General features: G+C 46.7%; 3 protein-coding genes and 1 pseudogene across 4 annotated transcripts, besides 8 other annotated features; 1 reads left to right on the forward strand and 3 right to left on the reverse strand.

The window, feature by feature from the left end:
* Window positions 1-1,097: 1,097 nt before the first annotated feature.
* Window positions 1,098-3,518, reverse strand: TRIAP1 (TP53 regulated inhibitor of apoptosis 1). The gene is made up of 2 exons (NM_016399.3): window positions 3,360-3,518; window positions 1,098-2,089 (listed from the first exon to the last, which is right to left on the reverse strand). Exons 1-2 carry the CDS (start codon window positions 3,504-3,506, stop codon window positions 2,006-2,008), a joined length of 231 nt encoding a protein of 76 aa, NP_057483.1. The 5' UTR covers window positions 3,507-3,518; the 3' UTR covers window positions 1,098-2,005.
* Window positions 2,700-3,547: an enhancer, noted in NCBI's record as "H3K27ac hESC enhancer chr12:120883369-120884216 (GRCh37/hg19 assembly coordinates)". NCBI's record gives its function as "activates a minimal SCP1, AML or CMV promoter by ChIP-STARR-seq in naive and primed H9 embryonic stem cells {active_cell/tissue: H9 hESC(naive and primed)}" and the evidence as "EXISTENCE:reporter gene assay evidence [ECO:0000049][PMID:30033119]".
* Window positions 2,700-4,393: a biological region, named in NCBI's record as "BRD4-independent group 4 enhancer GRCh37_chr12:120883528-120884727".
* Window positions 2,859-4,058: an enhancer, noted in NCBI's record as "BRD4-independent group 4 enhancer chr12:120883528-120884727 (GRCh37/hg19 assembly coordinates)". NCBI's record gives its function as "activates an origin of replication core promoter dependent on BRD2, P300/CBP, MED14 and CDK7 cofactors, and independent of BRD4, by STARR-seq in HCT116 cells {active_cell/tissue: HCT116}" and the evidence as "EXISTENCE:reporter gene assay evidence [ECO:0000049][PMID:35650434]".
* Window positions 3,273-3,822: an enhancer, noted in NCBI's record as "active region_7144". NCBI's record gives its function as "activates an Ori minimal core promoter by ATAC-STARR-seq in GM12878 lymphoblastoid cells {active_cell/tissue: GM12878}" and the evidence as "EXISTENCE:reporter gene assay evidence [ECO:0000049][PMID:35858748]".
* Window positions 3,420-3,714: an enhancer, noted in NCBI's record as "tiled region #3971; HepG2 Activating DNase unmatched - State 1:Tss, and K562 Activating DNase matched - State 1:Tss". NCBI's record gives its function as "activates a minimal TATA promoter and a strong SV40 promoter by Sharpr-MPRA in HepG2 and K562 cells {active_cell/tissue: HepG2 | K562}" and the evidence as "EXISTENCE:reporter gene assay evidence [ECO:0000049][PMID:27701403]".
* Window positions 3,548-4,393: an enhancer, noted in NCBI's record as "H3K27ac hESC enhancer chr12:120884217-120885062 (GRCh37/hg19 assembly coordinates)". NCBI's record gives its function as "activates a minimal SCP1, AML or CMV promoter by ChIP-STARR-seq in naive H9 embryonic stem cells {active_cell/tissue: H9 hESC(naive)}" and the evidence as "EXISTENCE:reporter gene assay evidence [ECO:0000049][PMID:30033119]".
* GATC (glutamyl-tRNA amidotransferase subunit C) lies at window positions 3,578-20,883 on the forward strand. Of its 2 annotated transcripts, NR_033684.2 has the most exons (5): window positions 3,578-3,695; window positions 3,791-3,963; window positions 12,067-12,164; window positions 14,210-14,313; window positions 17,041-20,883. NR_033684.2 is itself a non-coding variant. In NM_176818.3 (4 exons), exons 1-4 carry the CDS (start codon window positions 3,615-3,617, stop codon window positions 17,091-17,093), a joined length of 411 nt encoding a protein of 136 aa, NP_789788.1. In that variant the 5' UTR covers window positions 3,578-3,614; the 3' UTR covers window positions 17,094-20,883. The 2 variants fall into 2 exon arrangements, 1 of the variants encoding a protein (NP_789788.1); NM_176818.3 differs by lacking the exon at window positions 12,067-12,164.
* On the reverse strand, window positions 7,599-7,936 carry RPL31P52 (ribosomal protein L31 pseudogene 52; annotated as a pseudogene).
* SRSF9 (serine and arginine rich splicing factor 9) lies at window positions 18,806-26,882 on the reverse strand. The gene is made up of 4 exons (NM_003769.3): window positions 26,556-26,882; window positions 22,761-22,921; window positions 21,084-21,256; window positions 18,806-19,296 (listed from the first exon to the last, which is right to left on the reverse strand). Exons 1-4 carry the CDS (start codon window positions 26,741-26,743, stop codon window positions 19,153-19,155), a joined length of 666 nt encoding a protein of 221 aa, NP_003760.1. The 5' UTR covers window positions 26,744-26,882; the 3' UTR covers window positions 18,806-19,152.
* Window positions 26,121-26,290: a silencer, noted in NCBI's record as "silent region_4950". NCBI's record gives its function as "represses an Ori minimal core promoter by ATAC-STARR-seq in GM12878 lymphoblastoid cells {active_cell/tissue: GM12878}" and the evidence as "EXISTENCE:reporter gene assay evidence [ECO:0000049][PMID:35858748]".
* Window positions 26,541-26,840: a silencer, noted in NCBI's record as "silent region_4951". NCBI's record gives its function as "represses an Ori minimal core promoter by ATAC-STARR-seq in GM12878 lymphoblastoid cells {active_cell/tissue: GM12878}" and the evidence as "EXISTENCE:reporter gene assay evidence [ECO:0000049][PMID:35858748]".

Genomic DNA, 26,913 nt, shown 5'->3' on the forward strand with positions numbered 1-26,913 from the left:
GATGCATTATACTTCAGCTTGCTGCCTGGCCTCCCTTGGCTGGGTTCCAAACATCTTTTATAATCCTTGGATAATGGACCCTAGCCAGTCATAAAATATAAATGAAGAATGTTTTGAAATGACATTAAGGACAAGTCACATTAAATATGATGTAGCAATTGGTAAAGTGGAGAAAAGACAATAGAATTAGGGCCTTCTATAAATCAAGTTTCTTGGTTTATTTTTCAGACAGGGTCTTGCTGTGTCACCCAGCCTGGAGTGCAGTGGTACAATCACAGCTCACTGCAGTCTCCACCTCTCAGGCTCAGGTAATTCTCCCACCTCAGCCTTTAGAGTAGCTGGGACTACAGGCACACACCACCATACCCAGCTAATTTTTTTGTAGAGACAGGGTTTCGCTATGTTGCCCAGGCTGGTCTCAAATTCCTGAGCTCAAGTGATCCGCCCATCCCAGCTTCCCAAAGTGTTAAGACTACAGGCATGAGCCACCATACCCGGCCTGTAATTCAAGTTTCATACTACTTTGGGTATCTAATAAAACCAAATTACTCAATTAATTGTGGGGATTACGTGACATTCTGAGGTAAGTAAGTGCTCTCCTGATCCTTTTTTGGTACCGTAGTGTATTTGTATAGCCTATTGTGGAAATTTTAGAAATCAGTGAGGTTTTGGCTGGGTGCGGTGGCTCATGCCTGTAATCCCAGCACTTCGGGAGGTCAAGAGTTCAAGACCAGCCAACATGGTGAAACCCCATCTCTACTAAAAATACAAAAACTAGCTGGGCATGGTGATGCATGCCTGTAATCCCAGCTACTTGGGAGACTGAGGCAGGAGAATCATTGGAACCCAGGAGGTGGAGTTTGCAGTAAGACAAGATTGCGCCACTGCACTCCAGCCTGGGTGACAGAACCAGACTGTCTCAAAAAAAAAAAATGTGAGGTTTCTGATTGCCATACTGTACCACCTAGCTTAAGACAAGTCACTTTTTCTTCACCTTTAAGTTACAAAACACAAAACTCTCCCCACTGTATATATGAGGTTTGTAGGGTAACAGGGTAATAGTTCCATAAAATGCACTGAGTTCCAGAGGCAAATAATGATAGAAACTAAATGTTACAATTTATTCCATCTTCAGGATTACAGACATTACAGGGCAGGATGAGTAAACAAGGCAAATGAAGCGAGCACCTTCAGCTTCCCCCCTACCCCGACATTTAACCAGATGCAGCATTTTGACATTTTTAGGATATGCAGGTTGACAATTCACTGACTTGGGTTGAGAGCTGGCAATAGCAGATCTTTGCAATTTAGGTTCTTCCTCCACAGCTATTCCAAGTATCTTAATTCCTGAACTGCACACTGAGAGCTCTGAAATGGTGTTCACTGCAACATTCTTGCAGCTTTCACATCTTAATCTGACACCTCTTGTGAAGGCAGGGAACTGTGTTAAAAGCTGTCTTCCTCTTTGCTAATCCAGGCCACCATCAATCTTAACCATTAGTTACTATATAAAAATAAAAGTGTGCTCAAAAGCACTCACTGAAACTGTTGTGCCCAGATCCCTTTTCAGAGCATTAGTTCCCTGAGAGGAAAAAAAGAGGTCCTAACCAATTGCTTTCATAAATAGTGACCCCAGTACAGTGTATATGTCTTTTGCAGCAGAAATCAAGAGGTCAGGCAGCTCTGCTCATCCTGACTAGTTTATCATCGTTTGCATACAAGGTATATTTATGTAAAGCTGATTCCACGCCAAGTATTGCAACCATAATCTCAAAAAAATTGTTCAATTTTAGCACACAGTTCCTGCAAGATACCACAGCAGGTGAGAAATCATCTCAAAGAGTTCATCTTTTACAACTGAGAGGAAAACATCGAAGGAGGAAATAAAACTCCTCTCTCCTAAGTTCCTCATCAAATCTGATGGCTATGTTCACAGAGTTAGTTGACAAAAATCCAGAGTCCTCAATTTCTGGACTTGCGAAATCCTTCAAGGTGACTGTCAAGGTCAAGAAGAATTTTCAGGCTTTTCTTTGCCATGGCCCATGAACTCCAGTCCTTCAATAGGAATCTCTTTCTCCTTTATTGCTTTCTGGTAGGAGGAGAAAACACATTATAAAGACCTACATGAAGCTTAAGTTGCAAGCTTTGTAAATAAAATATGACAGTACAAAAGTAAAATCAAGCTGATTATAAAGACTTATAACCATGATTCAAACCACATACTTTTTAAAAAACAAGTACCGGTCAGGTGTGGTGGCTCACGCCTATAATCGCAGCATTTTGGGAGACCAAGGCAGGTGGATCACTTGAGGCCAGAAGTTAGAGACCAACCTGGCCAACATGGCGAGACCCTGTTTATACTAAAAATACAAAAATTAGCTGGGCATGGTGGCGCATGCCTGTAAGCCCAGCTACTCGGGTGGCTGAGGCATGAGAATAGCTTGAACCTGGGAGGCGGAGGTTGCAGTGAGCTGAGATTGTGCCATTGCACTCCAGGCTGGGAGACAGAGTGAGACTCTGCCTCAAAAATAAATAAAAACCAGAAGTACCATAATGAATAAATCAAGTGTAAGACCTGAGGGAGACTGGAAAAGGAGTTGTGAGGGAACCGTTAAAATTAAGTGAAATTTGAAAAATAATCATCACTTTGTGTTAGTGAAAGACTTAGGTTCAAATCTGGGTTCCAGGACTTACTGGCTATGTGACTAACTGTAAATGGGATGAAGACAGCAACTACCTCGGGGAATTGCTGTGAGGATGTGTTGGGTTAACTTATTGGAAGTGCTTTGCCCGGTGCTGTTCTTAACAATTCAAAGCAGTTCCACATCCATTGGGCCAGAATAAACATTTCCTGGCTGCAGTTGCGGGGACTGGTCAAGAGAGAGAAACAGGCTAACGAAGGGTTTATAACAACAAAAAAATGTGACCCTCCAGTCTGAATTCTGAAGTATAATCCCGCCCAGACCCCAGCAGTAATAGTGGAAAAGTGCACCACCTGCGAAAGAACCAAGGAAACCTGATGCTAGTGAACTCGGATTAATCACTTCCTATTTCTGGGTGTTAGTTTTTTATGTATAAAATATGAGTAACTATGCCCACCTTGCGAGTTTAGGGTGAACACCAAATGAACCAAAGGATGTGACTGTGCTTCTTGAAAAGCACTGCCCCAATATTTGTCATTCGGAGAGACACCCAAGTGGCCTCGGTGGTGATGGTAGGGGAGCGAGCTCCTGCCACTGGCCTCACTGCGACTTTTCTCCACCCTTCCAGTCCAGTCCCAATCCCCGTAAAATACGATGAGTGTGGTGGGACACAGCGCCGAGAATGCAGGGCCTGGGAACAGAGGCGGGAGGGCTCACCTGAACACACTGCTGGTAGCGCTTGAAGAGGTCGGTGCACGGGTCCCCGGAGCTGTCCCCCTTGAGAAATTTCTCGGCGAACCAGCGATTGAAGCACTGGTCGTACTCGCGCTTCATGTCCGTGCATGCCTCCCCCACACTGTTCATGGCGACAGTGGTGGCGGCGGCGACGACGGCGCACTCTGATGTCATCACTCTCAGGCGCGTCGCTCGGCGTTACGCGCGGGCGCACTGCGGGGGCCAAGGAAGGAAGAAATGTGGTCGCGGTTGGTGTGGCTGGGCCTTCGGGCCCCTCTGGGCGGGCGCCAGGGCTTCACCTCCAAGGCGGATCCTCAGGTAAAGGCCAGGGCCATCTAGGCGGGTGGCGGAGCAAGCCGGGAGGCACTTCGGAGCGCCGGTGACCCACACTCCCCGCCTCATCCCTCCTCCAGGGCAGTGGCCGGATCACGGCTGCGGTGATCGAGCACCTGGAGCGTCTAGCGCTTGTGGACTTCGGCAGCCGCGAGGCAGTGGCGCGACTGGAGAAAGCTATCGCCTTCGCCGACCGGCTACGCGCCGTGGACACAGACGGGGTGGAGCCCATGGAATCGGTCCTGGAGGACAGGTAAACTCGCGGCTGCAGCCCCGAAGCCTTGACCGTGGCCCGTTCGCAGCCGTTTAATGTGACGATTAGCGAACAGTTTTCCAGGGGGTTAAAGAGTGTTAGCAAGATTCAGGAACTTGCCCACAGTCACCTCGCGAGTCAGTGGCTTCACTCTTCCCCTTGTTCATTACTGATGCTCTCGCTAGTGTAAGTGGAAACAAAACCCGAACTGCTAATCACTGCCTTTGTTTTTTTTTTTGTTTGTTTGTTTTGTTTTTTTTTTTTTGAGACGGAGTCTCGCTGTGTTGCCTAGGCTGGAGTGCAGTGGCTCGATCTCGGCTCACTGCAACCTCCGCCTCCCGTGTTCAAGCAATTCTCTGCCTCAGCCTCCCGAGTAGCTGGGATTACAGGCGACTGCCACCAGGCCCGGCTTATTTTTTTTGTATTTTTAGTAGAGACGTGGTTTCACCATCTTGGCCAGGTTGGTCTTGAACTCCTGACCGTGATCCACCCGCCTCGGCCTCCCAAAGTGCTGGGATTACAGGTGTGAGCCACCGCGCCTGGCCTAATCATCGCCTTTAAGGCCCTACTCCATAGAGTCCCTACCTACTCACTCCAACGTACTCTTCTCAGTACTCTCCTTGGCTACCTTGACTGCTTCTCCAGCAAGACAAGTTCTTTTCCTCTCTAGATCTCTGCACTGGCCCTTCGTTTTTTTCCTTCCTCTCAGTATTTGCATGGCTGCCTCCCTCTTGGCACAGGTCTCAGCTTATCTTCTCAGAAAGGGCTCTCCTAACCACTCCAAATCCCTTCTCCCCTTCTAGTTAGTAACTCATCCTATTGGGTTTTTTCCCTAACATTTTAATGGACTTTTGTTCATTTGTTATATCTCTTTTATTAAAATGTGAGCTCATTATGTAGTTACTGTTTTATTCCTGCCTTGAATTTTTATTTTATTTGTTTTTGAGATGGAGTCTCACTCTATCACCCAGGTTAGAGTGCAGTGGCATGATCTCAGCTCATTGTAATGTCCACCTCCCAGACTCAAGAGAGCCTCCCATCTCAGCCTCCCAAGTACAGGACCACAGGCGCGTGCCACTTGGCCTGGCTAATTTTTTGTATTTTTGATAGAGACGGGATTTTGCCATGTTCCCCAGGCTTGTCTGGACTCCTGAGCAAAGGTGATCCACCCATCTCAGCCTCCTAAAGTACTGGGATTACAGGCATGAGCCACAGCACCTGGCCGTGTTTGATTCTTTCAAATGTCTTCTCTACTTTGCAATTTTCTTTTTCCTTTGGGACGGGGTCTCACTATGTTGCCCAGGCTGGTCGCAAACTTCTAGACTCAAGAGATCCTCCTGCCTCAGCCTCCCAAATAGCTGGGACTATAGGTGTGCACCACCACACCTGGCTAATACTTAAAATTTTTGTAGAAACGGGGTCTTGCCATGTTGCCCCATATGGTCTCAAACTCCTGGTCTCAAGCAATCCTCCTGCCTCAGCCTCCCACTTCCTCAAGAAAGTTTTTTTTTTTTTTTGAGGTGGAGTCCTGCCCCATCACCCAGGCTGGAGTGCAGTGGCATGATCTTGGCTCACTGCAACCTCCACCCTCCAGGTTCAAGTGATTTTTGTGCCTCAGCCTCCGGAGTAGCTGGGATTACAGGCACCCGCCACCACACTCAGCTAGTTTTTGCATTTTTAGTAGAGACAGGGTTTCACCATGTTGACCAGGCTGGTCTCGAACCCCTGGCCTCAAGTGATCCGCCCATCTTCGCCTCCCAAAGTGCTGGGATTACAGGTATGAGTCACTGCACTGGCCAAAAAAGTCCATTCCTTTTTTTTTTTTTTTTTTTTTGAGACGGAGTTTCACTCTTCCACCCAGGCTGGAGTACAGTGGTGCAATCTCAGCTCACTGCAACCTCCACCTTCCGGTTTCAAGTGATTCTCTTGCCTCAGCCTCCCGAGTAGCTGGGACTACAGGCGCCCGCCACCACGCCCAGCTAATTTTTGTATTTTTAATAGAGACGGGGTTTCACCATGTTGGCCAGGCTGGTCTCGAACTCATGACCTCACAGTCCACCCGCCTCGGCCTCCCAAAGTGCTGGGATTATAGGCGTGAGCCACAAGTCTTCATTCTTTTATACTTAGGTTCTTTTTTTTTTTTTTTAATTGAGACAAGAGTCTCGCTCTGTCGCTGAGGCTGGAGTGCAGTGGCGTGATCTTGGCTCACTGCAAGTTCCGCCTCCTGGGTTCATGCCATTCTCCTGCCTCAGCCTCCCAAGTAGCTGGGTCTACAAGTGCCCACTACCACGCCTGGCTAATTTTTTGTATTTTTAGTAGAGATGAGGTTTCACCGTAGCCAAGATGGTCTCGATCTCCTGACCTCGTGATCTGCCCACCTCAGCCTCCCAAAGGTGCTGATTACAGGCGTGAGCCACTGTGCCTGGCTATACTTAGGTTCTCTACCTGTGGCTCTCGTGATATCCAAAAGGGCTGATTTATACATGCGTTTATACATCTATTTAAGGGATGTGTTGAGTCTCTGCCCCTCTCCTGCTCACCCACCTTCCACAGCATGTCTGTTTTTCCTTATCATGTTCTCAGTGGTTGGCACTGAGTATTCAGTAAATGTGTTTTGTTTTGTTTTGTTTTGTTTTTTTGAGATGGAGTCTCACTCTGTTGCCCACGCTGGAGGCAGTGGCGTGATCTCGGCTCACTGCAACCTCTGCCTCCTGGGTTTGAGATTCTCTTGCCTCAGCTTCCCGAGCACCCGGGATTACAGGCATGCACCACCATGCCTGGTTAATTTTTGTATTTTTAGTAGAGAGGGGTTTCACCATGTTGGCAAGGCTCGTCTTGAACTCCTGACCTCAGGTGATCTGCCTGCCTCAGCCTCCCAAAGTGCTGGGAATACAGCCTTGAGCTGCCGTGCCCGGCCACAGTAAATGTTTAATGAATTTTTTTTTTTTTAGAGACAGAGTTTTGCTCACGTTGCCCAGGCTGGAGTGCAATGGCGCGATCTCAGCTCACCACAACCTCTGCCTCCCAGGTTCAAGCGATTCTCCTGCCTCAGCCTCCCAAGTAGCTGGGATTACAGGTGCACGCCACCACGCCCAGCTAATTTTGTATTTTTAGTAGAGACAGGGTTTCTCCATGTTGGTCAGGCTGGTCTCAAACTCCCGACCTCAGGTGATCTGCCCACCTTGGCCTCCCAAAGTGCTGGGATTACAGGCATGAGCCACCATGCCCGGTCCCAGTGTTCTTTATTAATATCTCTAGGAAAGGAGGGACTAGAAGCACAGAGTCATCAGAATTTCCCCAAGTTATCTAGAGGGTAAATACAAAGAAATATAACCATCATTAATAAGGGAAAAGGTCGTGAAAAAAGATGAGGAATTTGGATCCAGTAGCTAGCATCTCAACCTCGTATTCAGTGATCTGTACTGTTTTTCATAAATTTGGAAACCAGTTTGGGTTAATAATTCCCATTAATCATTTTAATGTGACATCTGTAGGACTTTAATGCTTTGAACACACAGAATGTAAAGTGAAGACAAGTATTAAACCTTTTATTTTTTATTTTTTTGTAGTTTTTATAACTTCATTTGATGTATTTGATGATCAGCAGTTAGTTCCCATCCACACTGACTGTAGATTTGTGAAAGTGGTAACAAGTATATAACCAAAGTATAGAGCTTATTTGGTGAATTTCTAACCTCATTATGTTTTCTGGACCATCCACTGCACATGGACACAGTATGGACATTCCTTACTACTTTGGCCCAGACAGCTTTGTTGAGCCTGGTATCAATACACATATCTGGAGTTTTCTATCTCCTTCATTGCAAATTTCCGGTCTCTTTAAGAGCCTGAGGGGCACACTTCTTGAAGCCCACTCCATGGATACACTTGTGAATATTAATGGTGTACTCTTGGGTCACCACCTAGTTGATGGCATAATGGCCATTCTTCTCACCATCCTTCTTTGCAGGAGGCCAAGTTGCTTAAATGTTTTAGGTAGTAGGCATCTTAGCTATAAAAGCCCTGACTTGGCCGGGCATAATGGCTCACTCCTGTAATCCCAGCATTTTGGGAGGCCGAGGCAGGCAGATCACTTTAGGTCAGGAGTTCGAGACCAGCCTGGCCAACATGGCGAAACCCTGTTTCTACTTAAAAAATACAAAAATTTGCCGGGCATGGTGGTGCATGCCTGTAATCCCGGCTACTCTGAAGGCTGAGGCAGGAGAATTGCTTGAAATCAGGAGGCGGAGGTTGCAGTGAGCTGAGATCACGCCACTGCACTCCAGCCTGGGCGACAGAGCAAGACTCCATCTCAAAAAAAAAAAAAAAAAGGTAGACTGGGCGCGGTGGCTCACACCTGTAATTCCAGCACTTTGGGAAGCTGAGGTGGGTGGATCATGGGGTCAGGAGTTGAAGACCAGCCTGGCCAAGATGGTGAAACCCCATCTGTACTAAAAATACAAAATTAGCCAGGCAAGGTGGCAGGCGCCTGTAATCCCAGCTACTCGGGAGGCTGAAGCAGGAGAATCGGTTGAACCAGGACGGCAGAGGTTGCAGTCAGCCAAGATGGAGCCACTGCACTCCAGCCTGGGCGACAGAGTGAGACTCCGTCTTAAAAAATACAAAACAAGGCTGGGCGTGGTGTTTCACGCCTGTAATCCCAGCACTTTGGGAGGCTGAGGCAGGTGGATCACCTGAGGCCAGGAGTTCGAGACCAGCCTGACCAATATGGTGAAACTCCTTCTCTACTAAAAATACAAAAATTAGCCGGGCATGGTGGCGCACTCCTGTAGTCCTAGCTGTTCGGGAGGCTGAGACAGAAGAATTGCTTGAACCTGGGGAGCAGAGGTTGCAGTGAGCCGAGATCACGTCACTGCACTCCAGCCTGGGCAACAGAGCAAGACTCCATCTCAAAAAAACAAACAAACAAACAAAAAACGCCTTGACTGGCTAATAGAAACCCCTTTGCACACTAATAACATGTCATTTGGTTTGAGGTAAAAACAGTATGCTTACATGCCAGGGGCTAATAAATTATATAAATTCTTTTTTTTTTTTTTTTTTTTGAGCTGGAGTCTCACTCTGTCGTCCAGGCTGGATGCAGTGGCACGATCTCAGCTCACTGCAACCTCTGCCTCCCAGGTTGAAGCAATTCTCCTGTCTCAGCCTCCCAAGTAGCTGGGACTACAGGTGCCCGGCACCATGCCCAGCTAATTTTTGTATTTTTAGTAGAGACGGGGTTTCACCATATTGGTCAGGCTGCTCTTGAACTCCTGACCTCAGGTCATCCGCCTGCCCTGGCCTCCCAAAGTGCTGGGATTGCAGGCATGAGCCACCGTGCCCGGCCTAAATTATTTCAATTTTCACATGCAGTCCTGGAAGGTCAATACAAGTTATCTATTTTATATAGATGGAAAAAACTGAGGTTCAGAAAGGTTATATAATGTGCCCAAAGTTTCACAGGTAATAAGCAGAGAATTTGGAACTCAGAGCTTCTGCTGCCAAATACTGTTCTAAGATATGCCAGCTAAAGTCGATTCCTAGGAACTTTACTCTCTTTCATCTGAAATCCAGAGAATGAGTTGACAGCAACTCTGCAGCCAAATACTTAAATGTCCCTCATAGTCTTATGAACCAAAAACTTCAAACTCTTAGGCTCAAGCCATCCTCCTGTCTCAGCCTCTCAAGTAGCTGGGACTACAGGTGTGTACCCCTATGGCCAGCTAATTTTTTTCTTTGTTACTTTTTTTTTGGTGGAGACAGGATCTTGCTGTGTTGCCCAAGCTGGTCTCGAACTCCTGGGCTCAAGTGATCCTCCTGCCTCGGCCTCCCAAAGTGCTGGCATTATAGGCATGAGCCATCATGCCTGGCCTGAATCCAGAACTTTTTTTTTCTCATTCTGTTGCCCAGGCTGCAGTGCAGTGGCGCAATCTTGGCTCACTGCAGACTCCACCTCCTGAACTCAAGTGATCCTCCCACCTCAGCCTCCCGAGTAGCTGAGACTATAGGCACACGCCACCACCCCTGGCTAACTTTTGTATTTTTTAGGGGAGATGGGGTCTCACCATGTTTCCCAGGCTGGTCTTGAACTCCTGGGCTCAAACAATTCACCCCCTTCGGCCTCCTGAAGTGTTGGGAATATAGATGTGAGCCACCTTGCCTGGCTCAGAACTTTTAACCAAGTTAATTAGCCCCCATTCCAGTCTGCATCAAACTAGAAATAAAGTAGGAGGAAGGGAGAAGGCTTTTAGATGGAAGTAGAGGGGTCCACAAGAAGCTATTCCTTCCAGCCAGATAGCAGAAAAGAAGCTCAAAGAAAGAAAAGCAGTGGGAGAACGGTCCCATCAGTGAGTCCAAGGGCTGACAGAATCACAAATGGAGCCACTTTGTCCTCCCTGTTGCCACAGCACTTTCCAATGCCACCGTAGCAGCATTTCTCACAGTTACTTAAGTTATTGTTCCTGAGTTTTAACCAGCAGGGACTTCTAGTTTACAACTGAAGTCTTTCTCAACCAGGGTTCCTCAGCCAAACCAGAACACAGAAAGATTCAAGTGACTTTTTTTCAGTTCTCCCAAGGACAGTATATGACAAATGTTAGCTTAAACACACAGGAGATAAGTTAACTTATCATCAGAATGGGTGTCTTGGGGTATGTAGGCTAACTTATCTTACAGAACCCTGATTGGGAAAGACAGGTGGTGAGGTAGAAGTTTAGTCAATCATTAATTGATCTGAAAAGCTCATCTGGTCCTGTTCAGTGTTTTATATAATTCTGAGGTCCAAGAAAGTGAAGCAACTCACCAAGTGAGAGGTATGCTTGCTGTACCACTGTCACAGAGACCGTGGGTTCAGGAGCCTGTAATTAATAAAGCTAGGTATGGTGGTGCACACCTGTAATCCCAGCTGCTTGGGAAGCTAAGGTGGGAGGATCACTTGAGCCCAGAAGTTTGAGACCAGCCTAGGCAACACAGCAAGACCCTGTCTCAAAAAAAAAAAGTAAAACAACAACAACAACAACAACAACAAAAAACCAACCCCAGAAAATGTGTCTATTTTAGGAACAACTCCATCATAACCAATAACTAAATAGAAATGTATGTATGTATGTACATACATACATAAATAGAAAGGTATGTAAAGGGGTGAATTTTGTTTTCCTGGAAATTTCACTTACGCAGGAAACTTAATTATGAAACTTGATTACTTGATGAGTAAATAGATTAGTTGCTATTAGATCTACTCTTGGGGAAGCAGTAGCATTTAACCGCCTATTGGCGGTAGTAGAGAGTCTTCCCAAACCTTCAGATGCTAGGCAGGTTGTGCCTCATCAGGAGTGCACAGACTTTGAATGAGTGGTAGGGACTGAGATGTACTGGGGTGCACTAAGGCTTTCTGAAAGGAGCAGGTGCTACTCAGAGCCCTCTTACTGCCGTGAATGCTGGCTCAGCATTATCAGATCTTGTTTTTTTAACATTTCATTTAATCTTCCCAGAAATCCTATGAAGCATTCAACAAACAAGGAAACTGAAATATAGAGAGGATAAGTAATGTGTAGCAATGGGATCTGAATTCAGCTGTGACTTGAGAGCCTAAGCTCTTAGCCTTTTTGAGACGGAGTCTTGCTCTGTCGCCCAGGCTGGAGTGCAGTAGCATGATATCCGCTCACTGCAAGCTCCACCTCCAGGGTTCACGCCGTTCCCCTCCTCAGCCTCTCGCTACAGGCCCCCGCCACCACGCCTGGCTAATTTTTTTTTTTTTGTATTTTTAGTAGAGACGGGGTTTCACCCTGTCAGCCAGGATGGTCTTGATCTCCTGACCTCGTGATCTGCCCGCCTCAGTCTCCCAAAGTGCTGGGATCACAGGCATGAGGCACCGCGCCCGGCCTCTTAGCCATTTTTTAATACTGTCCAACAGAAACTATAAACTCCAGAAAGTCCAAGGGTTACCTTTGAATAGTATAATTATGATTTTTATTTTACTTTTGTTCTCCCAAGTTTTCTTAAATGAATACAGTCCTTGTGTTATTCAAAAAAAAAAAAAAATCTAGTACAACTCTCTTTTGTGTGTGTGTGTGTGAGACACTGTCTCACTCTGTCACCCAGGTTGGAGTGCAGTGGTGTGATCTCCGCTCACTACAAACTCTGCTTCCTACATTCAAGTGATTCTTGTGCCTCAGCCTCCCAGGTAGCTGGGATTACAGGTATGTACCACCATGCCCGGCTAACTTTTATATTTTTAGTAGAGACAGGGTTTCACCATATTGGATGGTCTCGAACTCCTGACCTCAGGTGATCCACCTGCTTTGGCCTCCCAAAGTGCTGGGATTACAGGCTTGAGCCACTGTGCCTGGCCTTTTTTTTTTTCTTCTTGCTCTGTCGCCCAGGCTTGAGTGCAGTGGTGCCATCTCAGCTCACTGCAACCTCCGCCTCCTGGGTTCAGGCGATTCTCCCGCCTCAGCCTCCCGAGTAGTTGGGATCACACGTGCGTGCCACCACGCTTGGCTAGTTTTTGTATTTTTAGTAGAGATGTGGTTTCCCCACGTTGCCCAGGCTGGTCTTGAACTCCTGAATTCAGGTGATCCACCCGCCTTAGCCTTCCAAAGTGCTGGGATTACATGCAAGAGCCACCACACCTGGCCTTTCTCCCCCACACCCCGCCGCCCCCCTCCAAGAAATTTAATGTCTGAAAAGATCATACTTGTTCAAGGCCACACAGTTAAGAATGTGCCAGGTCCTGTAACAGACTTCAACTTTCTAATATTCATACCATGAGTAAATATTTGTTGTGTCTAGCTTTGGGCTGGGTGCCACAAAAAAAGAACTAGTCCTTTCCTAAAATAATCTTATTGTGACAACTTAGTTCTCTTTTTTTTTGAGGCAGAGTATCGCTCTGTCGCCCAGGCTGGAGTGCAGTGGCGCGATCTCGGCTCACTGCAAGCTCCGCCTCCCGGGTTCACGCCATTCTCCTGCCTCAGCCTCCCAAGTAGCTGGGTCTACAGGCGCCCACCACCACGCCCGGCTAATTTTTTTGTATTTTTAGTAGAGATGGGGTTTCACCGTGTTAGCCAGGATGGTCTCGATCTCCTGACCTCGTGATCCGCCCACCTCGGCCTCCCAAAGTGCTGGGATTACAGGCGTGAGCCACCGCGCCCGGCTGACAACTTAGTTCTTATGTGCAGCCTTAGCCCAGATGTACCTGTCACATCTTTGTCCCTCTCTGACATGACTCAAACGCCATTAGGGTCTGCCCTCAGTCTGTGCCCACTCAAAGCAGGAGGAGCGTGGCTACTACCGAATACCATATCAGTGATTTAACAGACTGCTTATTTTTTTAATCTAAGTATCTGGAAGCAGGCTTACACACTTTTACACCTTGAAACAATAGTGAAGCCTCATGCAAATGTTCAAGCTCTTGTGTGTTTTTTACCGGTTTGCCATCTGAAGGCTTTAGTAAAGTCACTAGGTCCCACAGAACACTGGGAGATTCTTGAGCTGTTGGTGGCACATCTTGCTCAAGGGCAGGCACATCCACCAAAGTGGCTGTGGTGGAAAAAGCATTCATTTTAGGTGTATCAGATTGGGCTGAGATCCCAGTTGTTACTTAGCAGCCAACATCCTTAAGTTACTCTTGTGGCAAGTTTGCTTCCCCATCTCTGCTTAGCTTTCCAGCTTCATCTTCCACCCCGGCAGACCACACCCCAGCCTGCTAAACTCCCTGTCCTTCTCTGAATCTCTGAGCTCTCGGCTCTATTGCTTTGGGATTCATGCTGCTATACGTGCCAGGAAGTCCATTTCTCATACCTTCATCCCCCAATCCAGCTATTTCTTGCCCATCCTTGAACAGTGACATCAGCTATTCTGAGGATGTGCTACTCACGCAGGCTGGACTAGGTACCCTTTCTATCCTTTGGCAGGCTGTACTAACCTCTGTTAGATTTAAAATATTGTTTTTGTAATTGCTTTTACCTGTCCCCACCAAAAGACAGTTGCCCATATAATCATCAAAAACTATTTGTTAAATCAATCCAGAGAAGTAATTAGCACTTACTTCTCAGGGTTGTTCGGTCAATCTATAAACTGTAGGCTGTTATTTGGTCTACTGTTGATCCCAGCTTCTCTATCTTTGAACAGTGCCCATTAACTCAAGAATATACTGCTTCCTTGTTCTCTCCTTCTTGCCCCTCTCCATCATCCCCTAAAAGCCCCCTTCTCTGAGAGGGTAACCTTGAGCTTCTGGGTTTTGTAGATGTCTATACCTGAGATCCGACAATGTGGTAGAAGGCAACTGTGCTGATGAATTACTACAAAACTCCCATCGCGTCGTGGAGGAGTACTTTGTGGCCCCCCCAGGTACGTGCTGCCCAGAATGGTTTAACAGATAGTCTCACAGTAACCTTAGGAATGAAGCAGGAAGCATGAGGACCAAAGATGCTATGTGAAGGCACTTTGAAAAGGATGAAGTGCATACAGATGGTGGCATTAAGGTGGCAGTAGGGTCCAGGGTCATACTCACCTCTAGGGGGCAGTTAGTAACAGGAACAAGCAAAACAGGATTGGGGGCATGCGGGAGGTTTAAAGTAGGTGGAAATCTGGAGCTCAAGATCTCCCTAAAGGGGCAGCTGGCATTCAGTGTTTCTCAAAGCCACAGTTAAGACCCTGCCAGATCCTGTAATCGACTCCAACTTTCTAGTATTCATACCATGAATAAATATTTGTTAGGTCTAGCTTTGGGCTGGGTACCACAAAAAAACCAGTCCTTTCCTAAAAGAATCCTTTTTTTTTTTTTTTTTTTTTGAGACGGAGTTTCGCTCTTGTTGCCCAGGCTGGAGTGCAATGGTGCAATCTCGGCTCACCGCAACCTCCACCTCCCGGGTTCAAGCGATTCTCCTGCTCAGGCTCCCCAGTAGCTGGGATTACAGGCATGCACCAGCACGCCTGGCTAATTTTTTGTATTTTTAGTAGAGACAGGGTTTCACTGTGTTAGCCAGGATGGTCTCGATCTCCCGACCTCAGGTGATCCACCCACCTCGGCCTCCCAAAACGAATCTTATTGTGACAACTTAGTTATCATGTGTGGCCTTAGCCCAGATGTTTCTGTCACATCTTTGCCTATGACATGATTCAAACGCCATTAGGGTCTGCCCTCAGTCTGTGCCCATTCAAAGCAGGAGGAGCATGGCTGCTACCCTATCAGTGTTGCCAGGCAGGAATGTAAACCCATTTCTCCAGAGAACCTGGATACCTGACATTTTGTGTGATATTTCTTAAATTTTTTTTTTTTTTTTTGAGATGGAGTCTCGCTCGGTCACCCAGGCTGGAGTGCAATCTTGACTCACTGCAACCTCTGCCTCCCGGGTTCAAGCAATTCTCTGCCTCAGCCTGCCGAGTAGCTGGGATTACAGGTGCCTGCCACCATGCCTGGCTAATATTTTTGTATTTTTAGTAGAGGCAGGATTTCACCATCTTGGCCAGGCTAGTCTTGAACTGGTGATCTACCCGCCTCAGCCTCCCAAAGTGCTGGGATTACAGGGGTGAGCCACTGCACCCCGCCGATATTTCTTAAATTTTAAGTGCTAGCAACCAATTCAAAATTTAAAAAACAAAATACCATCCAAGCCAAATAAAACACATCTGCAAGCCAGGTGCAGTCTGTGAGCCATCAGTTTACAACAGCTGGTATAGAGATTTGCATCATCTACCTACTGTAAATATTTTAAATAGAAGCTTTAAAATTACTCTGGGCTGACAGTAAAATCCAGAACCTTGGATAGGTTGACTGTTTTTATCTCCTCTGCAGGTAGGTGAATACTTGGAGCTGTTGTACTACCCCTCTGGGCATCTGGGAGTGGGACTAGCCAAAAGCAATCAGGTAGCCTGCTAAGTGCCAACTTCCAGTTCAGGATATCCTGAGGGAGAATCATTCTGAGCAGACTCCACAGAAGACATTGGCCCTGGTCAGCTTAAGGTGCCAGTTAAAGGCAGGCTCTGGTTGATGCAAGGATGGGAAAGAAAGCTAGAAATTTTGTGAGCTAAACTTTTTGTTTGTTTTGAGACGGAGTCTTGCTCTGTTGCCCAAGCTGGAGTGCAGTGGCGCGATCTCGGCTCACTGCAAGCTCCACCTTCCACGTTCATGCCATTCTCCTGCCTTAGCCTCCCAAGTAGCTAGGACTACAGGCGCCCACCACAACGCCTGGCTAATTTTTTGTATTTTTAGTAGAGACGGGGTTTCACCGTGTTAGCCAGGATGGTCTCTCTCTCCTGACCTCGTGATCGTCCGCTTCGGCCTCCCAGAGTGCTGGGATTACAGGTGTGAGCCACCGCACCCGGCCGTGAGCTAAACTCTTAATCATGCCTCCAATCCACTAAACCACCTGTTAACTGTGGAGAGAAAGGAGACTCTCCATCTCAGAGCCTGATAGTTGTGGCTCCAGCAGAAATATCTTTTGATCAGACATGCTATCTCCCACACAGAACCTTACTTCAGACTTTGCTTTTTGGGACCACCTGAGTTCATGGTCAGTGTTTCCTTCTAGTCCTATCTGCATATTAGTGGCTAATCAACCTGTATACTCCTTACTGAAAAAGGTGAATTTGGCTACACTTAGAACTGATTCTTTCAGATACTCCCAGTTAGGAAAACAGGACAGTAGCTACATTACTTCCATATTTTCCATGAGAAAGTAGTGATCAGTTAGCTCAGTAGAGCCAGCTGGGCGGCAGGCTCAGCTATAACATTCTCTGTTGTGGCCGGGCGCGGTGGCTCATGCCTGTAATCCTAGCACTTTGGGAGGCCGAGGAGGGCGGATCACGAGGTCAGGAGATCGAGACCATCCTGGCTAACACGGTGAAACCCCGTCTCTATTAAAAATACAAAAAATTAGCCGGGAGAGGTGGCGGGCGCCTGTAGTCCCAGCTACTCTGGAGGCCGAGGCAGGAGAATGGCGTGAACCCCAGGGGGCGGAGCCTGCAGTGAGCTGAGATTGCGCCACTGCACTCCAGCCTGGGCAACAGCGAGACTCTGTCTCAAAACAAAAACAAACAAACAAACAAAAATTCTCTTTTGTTATTTTCAAACAGGTAATATCTCTTTGCCAAAGCTGGATGAACAAGAGCCATTCCCACACAGCTGAGTAGCTCATTCTGGAAAGGGGGTACTCTGTGAACATGTGGAAGCATAATGACAGTATTTTTTTACTGTGAATACTAATGTTCCTGCTTTTTTCAGTCCCCTGAAAAAATGGATGCTCAAGCATTTCTTAATAACAGATTCTTCTGAAGACAGAATTGGGAAAGATCTGGCCCCAACAAGGCAGTGAGTTCCTGATGCTAACTGAGGTGAAAGAAAAGCAAAAGTCAGCTTCCAAGGAATTCACTTAACAGGCCTGTTCAGTATGGAAGACATTATTTATCTGCCTTTAACTCCCCCCAAAGGACCATACCAACTGCATGAAAGTGAACTTTTCTATCTACGTAACTGGTAGACGGAGCATCTTGATCACTATGTGACAACCTTGGCTGTCATTTTTAGTTGCCATTTGCATTGATTTGAGCAGCCCTATCTTTACCGAACATACCTGAATTTGTTCCTGGGCTCCCACTTTCTTCCCAGAAGAGGGCTAACTTCCTACTAAGGTCTGAAGAGTGTTGAAAGTAGACTAGAGCTTGGGAACTCCTAACCTAGAACTATCTGCCATCCCACAAAGTGATTATATGCCAAAGGGATACTAGTCATACCTAGTGTTTCTCTTTCTGAAAAGAGAACTTATCCTAAAATTAGCCCTGGGCCTGGGACAAAGGAGCCCTCTCCGCCCCCAAAATGATTATTAAATTGAGATGAGTCCAGGATAAAACTCAGATACCAAGGATAAATGAAACTTATTTAGGGATAAAAGTGGGCTGGGCGCAGTGGCTCACTCCTGTAATCCCAGCACTTTGGGAGGCTGAGACGGGCGGATCACAAGGTCAGGAGATCAAGACCATCCTGGCTAATGCGGTGAAACCTCATCTCTACTAAAAATACAAAAAATTAGCTGGGTGTGATGACAGGTGCCTGTAGTCCCAGCTACTCGGGAGGCTGAGGCAGGAGAATGGCGTGAACCCGGGAGACGGAGCTTGCAGTAAGCCGAGATCGCACCACTGCACTCCAGCCTGGGCGACAGAGCAAGTCTCAAAAAAAAAAAAAAAGTGATAGAATCAGAGAGTTTTTCCTCTAACCAAACTGCCAAAGTTGGTTTTGGCTAAGAATTTCCCAATAATATTTATGCTGCTGCTCATTTTTTTAGTTTTCTGAGACAGGGGTCTCCCTCTGTCACCCAGGCTGGAGTGCAGTGGTGACAGATCACTGCAGCCTCCAACTCCTGGGCTCAAGTGATCCTCCCACCTCAGCCTCCTAAGTAACTGGGACTACATATGTGCATCACCACGTCCAGTTAATTTTTTTTTAAGTAGAGGTGGGGGTTTTGCTATGTTGCCTATCTGGTCGTGAACTCCTGGCCTCAAGGGATCCTCTGGCATGCCTTGGCCTCCCAAAGGGCTAGGATCACAGGCAAAAGCCACCGTGTGTTTATTTTTCCCATTCCCTTCCTTTATCTGCAATGCTTTTTTCTTTAAGGCAGCCTAATTTACAAGCTTGGCCTTGAATTAAAAGAGAACCCAGAACCCGCTCTTGGAGTTTACGTTCTCAAACCAACATCAGAGCAACTGTCTATCCCCATATAAATAAAGTTATCTACCCCTGCTCCTAACTGGGTACAAGTTATGACTACAACTCAGTGATTTTTTAAATTAGTGTGCCTATTTGGTGAAATCTGTGAACTTAATCAAGGACAACCACACATGTCAATTACTAAACATTTAAAATATATTTCTAAACAGAATGGGCCGACTCAGTCACAGTAACTGTTGATCTCCATAGTAGAGCAACCCACAAAGACAGAACTGATTTTTTTCCCATAATCAGGGGTGAAAAATATACAACTTGTTTCTGAACCAAAACCACAATTTCTGCAGTTTAAAATGTTTCACTGCTAATATGGCCCTGGTAGAAATTATGTAGTTTTTTTTCTTCTTTAAAAAAAAAAAATTAAAAAAATTTCCTAAGACACTAAATCCTCAATCTGGAATGTAGATTCTGAGCACAAAGCAGCTCAGTTAACCTAAAAAATAAAGAAAAAATTCCCATCACCTGTCTCAGTAGGGCCTGAAAGGAGAGAAGTAGTGTGGGGAACCCCTGCTTTGGTATGGAGAGTCACGGCCCCTTGACCCAGACCGAGACCGTGAGTAGCCATAGCTGGTGCTTCTCTCAGGATAAACTCGGATGTAGGAAGTTTCACCCTGAAATGCAAACAAAAACAAAAAGAGTAAAGGGGAAAAAAATCAGAGCCAGAAGAATAAGCAAACCAACATCTAACAATAATAGTTAAGTATTGAGCACTTACTGTGTACTCTGTGCCTGGCATGAGGCTATCTCATTAAACCTTCATAACATTATGAGGTAGGTACTCTTACTATCCCATTTCAAGAATGAAGAAAATTAAGACTTAAGTTATATCATTTGCCCAAGGTAACACAATAAATGCCAATTTGACATGTTGATACTCAATTAACTATGATAAACAATATATCTGAATTACTGCCATTGACCCCCCTCAAAGCTAAGAACTGGAAAGGATCTCAGGGGTCATATAGTTTAATCCCCTGCCACCTCATGTATGCATCTTTGGATGGGCATCTATGGAAGGAGCTAGCCTGTATTTAATACCTTCCAGATGTGAGGACCTGAGCTAGATGCTTTAGACGTTATCCTCTTGCTCTAGATTCCTGGCAAGTCTTGTGATGGTGCTATTATGTGACCATTTTGCCCATGAAGGAATCGAGGTCCCAAGAGTAGTTCAGGTAAGGAATTAATAAGCAGCAGAGGAGTCATGTCCAGGCTGGCTTGTCCCCAGGCCCTCTGCCTTCAGCCACCATTCTCAGAAGATCCAAAGATGCCAAGGGGAAAGAAGCCGGATGCTTTTTCACCTTAGGTGAAAGTCAGTAATTGGAGTTACCCTTTCTGAGGCCCTGCTTTGCAGTATAACTGAGGATCAGGTGCTGTTCTGTTTCTGCTTCAAATTCAAGTCCTAGAGGACAGTCTGAACAAAAGCATCATTAAACCAGGGAAGGACCAACCTCTAAGCCAAAAACTAGGCAATTATATGAATCCTCAGAAAAAGAAATGAGCCCAGAGACCTGTGTCCCCAAACATCCGTAAATCTCATAGTAAGGCAGGACAGGATAACCAGAAAAAAACAATGTCCAACTGGTCTGGTTTCTGGTCTCAATGGTACCAAAGGGATAGTCACCACCTCAATCAAACTGAGATCCAAAACAGCAGCTGCTTTCCTACAAGGAAAGACATCAAGAACTACTGAGTCTGAAGGGTGACATAATCAACCACAAGAAAATGTTACGGTTTAGCCTGGCACAGTGGTGCATGCCTGCAGTCCCAACTACTGGAGAGGCTGAGGTGGGAGGACTGCTTGGGCCCAGGAGTTCAAGGTCAGCCTCGGCAATATAATGAGACTGTCTCTAAAATCAAAAATTAGAGAAATATAAAAATTATAAAATTAAAAAAGAAAATGTCATGATAGCTCAGGTTTCAGAGAGGATGCTGCACTACTCTGGGAAAAAAGTGAAGTGACAGCTCAGCCCTGACAGCAGGACCTAGAAGGGCTGAGATGAAGAGGCTGACCTGTAGAGCTCAGCCTGGACCCACAGGAGGGGTAGTTGAGTTCACAGAGGGATACTGCCATTTAAGCTGGTTGTGAATGGGGTGGTATGAAGACCGACTGCACTAGTATTCTCTCCAGGTTACAAATACCATGACCAAACTGTGTAATGTGATACTAATATGCAGAATAAAGCATATTAAAAAACAAACGTACCATGAATGCATACTTCTTTCAGCTATGACCCTGAAGGACTTAGGCATAGCAAATTCCATGGCTTTGTCCACCTAAGATAGATCTCTTATGGTACTGTGAGGTTACCAAATGGCATGGCCTCTTGCTACCTCTGCTAGGTCAGGTTCAAGTGGAGTGATTTGAGTACAAGCTCCTCAACAGAAGGCAAGGACCCACCTCATGAGAGCGGAATTTGGTGTCATCCAGTTTACGCAGGGCATATTCCATGTCTTCTTTTCTGAGATACTCGACCATCCCCACTCCATCCTTCTGCACATCAGCATAACAGACATCCCCAGCTTCTCGCATGTGATCCTTCAGGTCCTGCCAGCTGCCTGACGGAGGAAGTCCTAGGCATGGAGAACATAAGAAAGCCCACATCCTTCAGCTATGTTAACTGCCCTGTTAAGAGCCAGCAATACCTATGGTCCTTTCTCCATGATCACTTAAATCCTGAGGGTCCCCAAATCATAAACCTTGATAAGGGACATGAAATCAGAAAAGAGCACTGAAGTATGTGTGGTAAATGAACCACCTTGAGAAGCTGGTTTTAAGTTCATCTTCCAGAGACCAGGCCTTTTCAACAGAGCAAGAAGTCCATCCCATTACAGGTTTAGTATCTTTGAGAATTCATAGCCTCTTTCTTTGTCCTTTAAAATCAATGCCAAACTCCTAATACTTTGAGTTCCAATTTTTTCCATTATGAAATTTAACAGTACCAATTATTTATTGCTTGACAGGGTTTCACAGGACATGGGAATTTTGAAACCAGACATGAAATAACCAAAGAGTAGCTGAAGGTAACAACACAACAACAAAAAATCTAAAGTTTGTTTTCTTGTAGGTATGAATGACAAACTATACAGAGTACCTCTTAAAAGATCACCAACATTCTTCAATACAGTGGGGGGGAAGGTAAGACTCAGATGCTAAAACTAGTCGGGAGTCATACAACCCTACCTGATGTCATGAAAGGGAAATGTGCTCCTGCTCTCAAAGGCTGTGTTTACCGCTCACAGCTCAGGACTGCAGCCATTTCCTAATAGTTTTCTAAGCAGGATTTCAGAGCAGCATGGAGAGAAAAAAAGATAATGTATGACATCCTGAAGGAGGGAATAGAGTTCTGGGGTTAAAAAATTACAAAGGGACACAAGATAGGCAGATACTGAGAGTATCACTCTTAAGCACATGGGAGTATGCTGTGATTGTGTGACATTCACATCTTAAAAAGGTGCCAGGCTCCTCGATTTATTTCATTCCACCAGGGCCCTAAAACTCCCATGCAATATGCAGAAGGCCCCAGGTCTTTCCAGTGTGTTAATATTTTGAAGATAGATAAACCTCCCAGTTTAGCATTTCATCACTTATAAACACTAGACAGAAATAGTCTATACTTTCCAATAAAATCTCTAAGACTCTTAAGTTACGGGGTTTTAAAAAATATTTAATTCTAAAACCACCACAAAATCTGATCTTCTTCAGGATCCAAGGCTGGGTAAGTTGTTCAAATCTGGCTCCTTGAATGCCTTTCTACCATGTCTGATGCCAAGTATATTCCAAAAGAAGCATCTTTAGAATTGTAGCTCAAGTTTTCCCATCATCTTTCCTTCTCACCACTAGAAAACTCCTTTACAAGAAATATGGTTATGTTCTTCCAAGGCTGCACTCCCAGCGCAATTTCATTTGCAGGATACTTTCCTCATTGGCAATCCAGGGCAAGGCTTCACACAGGCTATTGAAAAGAAAGCCCCCGTGTCCCATGCACTGAAGAATAACAGCTATCATTTCTTGGAAGACAGACTCTGTGTTAAGTATTTTACATGTATCATCTCATTCTGTTTGAAAGGAACATACCTGAAACAAGAACTCGGAAATCAGATCTTCTTGTAGGAGGCCCATTCCTCCCACCACGGGGCCACCCACCCCGACCTCCATAAGTCCTGGGGAACTCCACACGAAGCCGACACTGGCCATAATCATAACCATTTCTTCCATAAATAGCATCCTCTGCATCTCTAAAAAAAACAACAACAACAAAAAAAACGTTTGGAGTTAGTGCTGTTCAGGAGGCCAAGTGACTTTCCAAGTGAGGGGCATGAGTAGTAAGCATAAAAGGGAAACCTAGAGTGAAGAAAAAAACACACAAATCAGGATCCTGAAGCACTTCTGCTTTGGTTTGGAGACGTTTCATGATACTGGAATTAACCTTTACAGCTGTCACACGCAGTTTTAGAGGTATGAAATTATAATGAATGAGCAAACAGATTACTCATAAGAGGGCTAATTCAGAGAAAAAAAAGAATCAACTGCTGACAGATTATTGATTTTGCCAATAAACCATCAGTGTTTTTCTAATCTTCGTGAGCATTTTCTCGAAAAGCACACCACACACTAACCCCTTAATATTTTTCTACAAAGCCTAGTGCCATAAAGTCTATGGAAATAAAAAGTAGGCGGTTAGCCAGGCATGGTGTTGCACGCCTGTAGTCCCAGCTACTTGAGAGGCTGAGATGGGAGTGCAGAGCCAAGATCACACTACTGTACTCCAGCCTGGGTGACAGAGACCCTGTCCCAAAAAACAGGAAAAAAAAAGTAGCCAGTTAGATAGGAGAGTATTTGAGGGTAAATAAAGTAGCTGGGCATGATGTTTGAGCCCAGGTCAGGCCAGCCTGGGTAATATAGTGAGACCCGGTCTTTTAAAAAAATAAATAAATAAGGCTCAAAGGACAAAAGAAAAATGCAAATGAGTGTTTTGTGATGAATGTGGAACTTTTTTTTTTTTTGAAACGGGGTCTTGCTCTGTCACCAAGGCTGAGTGCAGTGGCTGGAGCATAACTCACAGCAGCTTCTAACTCTTGGGCGCAAGCAATCCTCCCACCTCAGCCTCCTGAATAGCTAGGGCCACAGGCGTGTACCACTGCACCCAGCTAATTTTTGGATTTTTTGTAGAGACAGGTCTCCCTCTGCTGGCCAGCCTGGTCTTGAACTCCTGGGCTCAGGCGATCCTTCCCCTCAGTCTCCCAAAGTGCTAGGATTACAGGCATAAGCCACTGCGCCTGGCCTTGGAACTCTAAGTGTACCTTTTCAGCATGGTTTGGAGAACTATTTTTGTCAAAAAACATTCTTTGGATACAATTTTGCCAAAAGAGATAAATATTCAATAAAATTACTTTAAGTCTTTCCTAGGACTCTAGGAGAGTCAGGAATGCCACGTTGATTCTCCAGTATTGGATGGTAGAAAGTGTGACCTTGGAGCTTGGGTGGACAAGAGGAGCTGAATGTGCTAATGAAGGCATTGTTCAGTGTCACAGGCACATAATCACTTGTAAGATTTTAGAACTAAAAGCAACAATGACCATATCCAGTGCAACCTTGACTACGTAAAATGCAGACTGGGAGAGGCAGAACTGCTAGGAGGTCAGAACAACTCTGAATAAAAACTGGCCAGCATTCAGGCCAGGCGCTGTGGCACATGCCTGTAATCCCAGCACTTTGGGAGGTGGATCACTTGAGGTTAGCAGCTTGAGACCAGTCTGGGCAACCTGGTGAAACCCCTCGTCTCTACTAAAAAGATAAAAATTAGCTGGGCATGGCATCGCGCAGCTGTAATCCCAGCTACTCAGGAGGCTGAGGCACGAGAATCTCTTGAACCCAGGAGGCGAAGGTTGCAGTGAGCTGAGACTGTGCCGCTACACTCCAGCCTGCACGACAGAGCCAGACTCCATCTCAATAAATACAATAAATAAATAAAATTAGCCTGCATTCAAATCACTATTCTGCAAATTACTAGTAGTCATCTCTGGGTAAGTGTTTAATCAAGTTTTTACATCTCTAATGTGAACAGTATGCCTATCTCACAGGGTTATTGTAATGGTTAAATAAGATACTACATGAAATGCTTTGCTTGAATCTTCACATCTAGTGACACCAAAAGATAGTTTTTCTATTATGAAAGGAATGAGGGAAGATGACAATGTAGCGTATCATATAGTAAGTTTGCATTCGAAAAACAGAAGAGGGAGTTCAAATCCATTGATCCCGGCCTGGCGTGGTGGCTCAGGCCTGTAACCTCAGCATTTTGGGAGGCTGAGGTGGGTGGATCACTTGAGGTTAGGAGTTCAAGACAAACCTGGCCAACATGGAGAAACCCCGTATCTGCTGAACATAGAAAAATCAGCCAGGCATGATGGCGGGCGCCTGTAATCCCAGCTACTGGGAAGCTGAAGCGGGAGAATCGCTTGAACTCAGGTGGCGGAGGTTGCGGTGGGCCGGGATCGCACCACAGCACTCCAGCCTGGGCAACAAGAGTGAAGACCTGTCTCAAAAAAAAAAAAAAAATAGTACCTACACCTCATAAATTGTTAAAAATACTAAATACAGGCTGGGCGGGTTGCTCACGCCTGTAATCCTAACAATTTGATCCGCTGAGACGGGAGAATCACCTGAGCTCAGGAGTTCCAGACCAGCCTGAGCAACATGGTGAAACCCCTAATTTATCAATCTAAAAAAATAAGAAGGAAAGAAAAAAAGCTAAATACACACCATGGCACTTGACCCATAGCAACTGTTGAAAAACCACAATGGCACGGTTACTAAATAAGCGAGGCATAGCCTTCTCCGGCTTAGGGGTAAAAATGCCCAGTTCCGGTTTTGAGGCAAATGAGGAGATACTAGGGATGAGCTGTCAGAGTCGACTCTTCAGCCATCAACGCCTCGCGGTGCTTCCTGCCTGCCCTTCCTCAGATGCTCCCCTTGCCCTATCAATACGTCCACCCCAGGTAGGTCGGACACCCTACGAACATTCCGCGTTCCCCGGGAGCAAATGATGCTAGGAAAACAGGGTGCGGGCTCTTATTTGGCCGGAGTGGAGTGACCAGGTCAGCGCCGCAGCTGCTAACCACCACCAACCACAGTTTTGAAAGTTCCTGGGCTTTTTCCGGCCTGAGGGCCGACGCTGTTTGCAAAATCACAAGCACTCCTTAGAGCGGGGTTAGGAATCTAGAGTTTCCAAATCCCTGGAACCTTTAGCATCTCGCCAAGCCTCCCTCATCAAAGGAGGGAAGTGAAATCAGAGCCCCACTCCGGCTGTTTTAGAAGTTTTCCCGAATCCGTGATCCCTTTACAAAGCCCGGGCCCTGGCCTGCGGGGCGGGGCGCGCGAACGGCGAGCTATTCCACCAGAGATCCCTCCACGACCTCCAGCGGCATCCGCGACCCTGCAGCTTGCTCTCCAGCCACGGCGAGCACGGGCCGGGGGAGAGGCGAGCGGGAAGGGCGAACGGCGACCCCCGCGCTGCCCCGCGGCCGCTTCCCCCTACGGTGCTGCCCCAGGCAGGAGGCGGACAAGGCTCATTTGGACCCCCCGAGGCCGGTGCAGGCGGGCTTGGGCCCTCCAAAGGCTCAGCTTTTGGGTTTCTAAGTAAAATATTGGAATAATAAAAATAAAGGAAGTGACGACGGCGCGAAGGACGGCCCGGGCCTGCGAGGAGAGGCTGCCTCATCCTCCACCCGTGAGGGGGCGCCGTGAGGGGTCTGCGCGGAGGCGGGGGGAGGGGAGGCCGGGGGGAGGGGAGCCCTGGGGGAGGGGACAGCAGGGAAGGCGGGGGCCTCAGGCACCGAGGAGGAGAGGGCAGGGGCGCGGGGGCCTCACCGGGGGTCCTCGAAGCGCACGAAGGCGAAGGGCACGAGGCCGTGCCGGTTCTTGAGCTCGATCTCGCGGATGCGGCCGTACTTGTAGAACAGGTCCTCCAAGTCCTTCTCGCGCACGTCGGTCGGAAGGTTCCCCACGTAGATGCGCCCGTCGCCCTCGCCGCCGCGCTCGTCCGCCCAGCCCGACATCCGCACCGCCCGACGCCGCGGGCCCGCCGCAGCCCACGTCGCCGCCGCCGCCTCAGCACGGGTCCCCCCGCAGCGTCCCCGCGGGCTCCGAGGCGCTCAGCCGCACTGCATTGTGGGAACGCGGAGCGGAAGCGAAGGGGTCGGCGGAGGCAAAAGGAGTCCTCTTAAAG

The sequence above is a fragment of the Homo sapiens genome, chromosome 12 (assembly GCF_000001405.40).
Source record: "Homo sapiens chromosome 12, GRCh38.p14 Primary Assembly".
Classification (NCBI taxonomy): Eukaryota; Metazoa; Chordata; class Mammalia; order Primates; family Hominidae; genus Homo; species Homo sapiens.

Bases quoted from the DNA above. Each gene is read 5' to 3' on its own strand.
- TRIAP1 (NM_016399.3), bottom strand. From the start codon at position 3,506: ATGAACAGTGTGGGGGAGGCATGCACGGACATGAAGCGCGAGTACGAC. The intron at 2,090-3,359 runs GTGAGCCCTCCC...TCCTCCTACCAG, and splicing joins GCTACCAGCAGTGTGTTCAG to AAAGCAATAAAGGAGAAAGA.
- GATC (NM_176818.3), top strand. From the start codon at position 3,615: ATGTGGTCGCGGTTGGTGTGGCTGGGCCTTCGGGCCCCTCTGGGCGGG. The intron at 3,696-3,790 runs GTAAAGGCCAGG...TCCCTCCTCCAG, and splicing joins CCTCCAAGGCGGATCCTCAG to GGCAGTGGCCGGATCACGGC. The intron at 3,964-14,209 runs GTAAACTCGCGG...TGGGTTTTGTAG, and splicing joins GAATCGGTCCTGGAGGACAG to ATGTCTATACCTGAGATCCG.
- SRSF9 (NM_003769.3), bottom strand. From the start codon at position 26,743: ATGTCGGGCTGGGCGGACGAGCGCGGCGGCGAGGGCGACGGGCGCATC. The intron at 22,922-26,555 runs GTGAGGCCCCCG...TGTTTTTTTTAG, and splicing joins GTGCGCTTCGAGGACCCCCG to AGATGCAGAGGATGCTATTT. The intron at 19,297-21,083 runs GTGGGTCCTTGC...TTTGCATTTCAG, and splicing joins CCAAATTCCGCTCTCATGAG to GGTGAAACTTCCTACATCCG.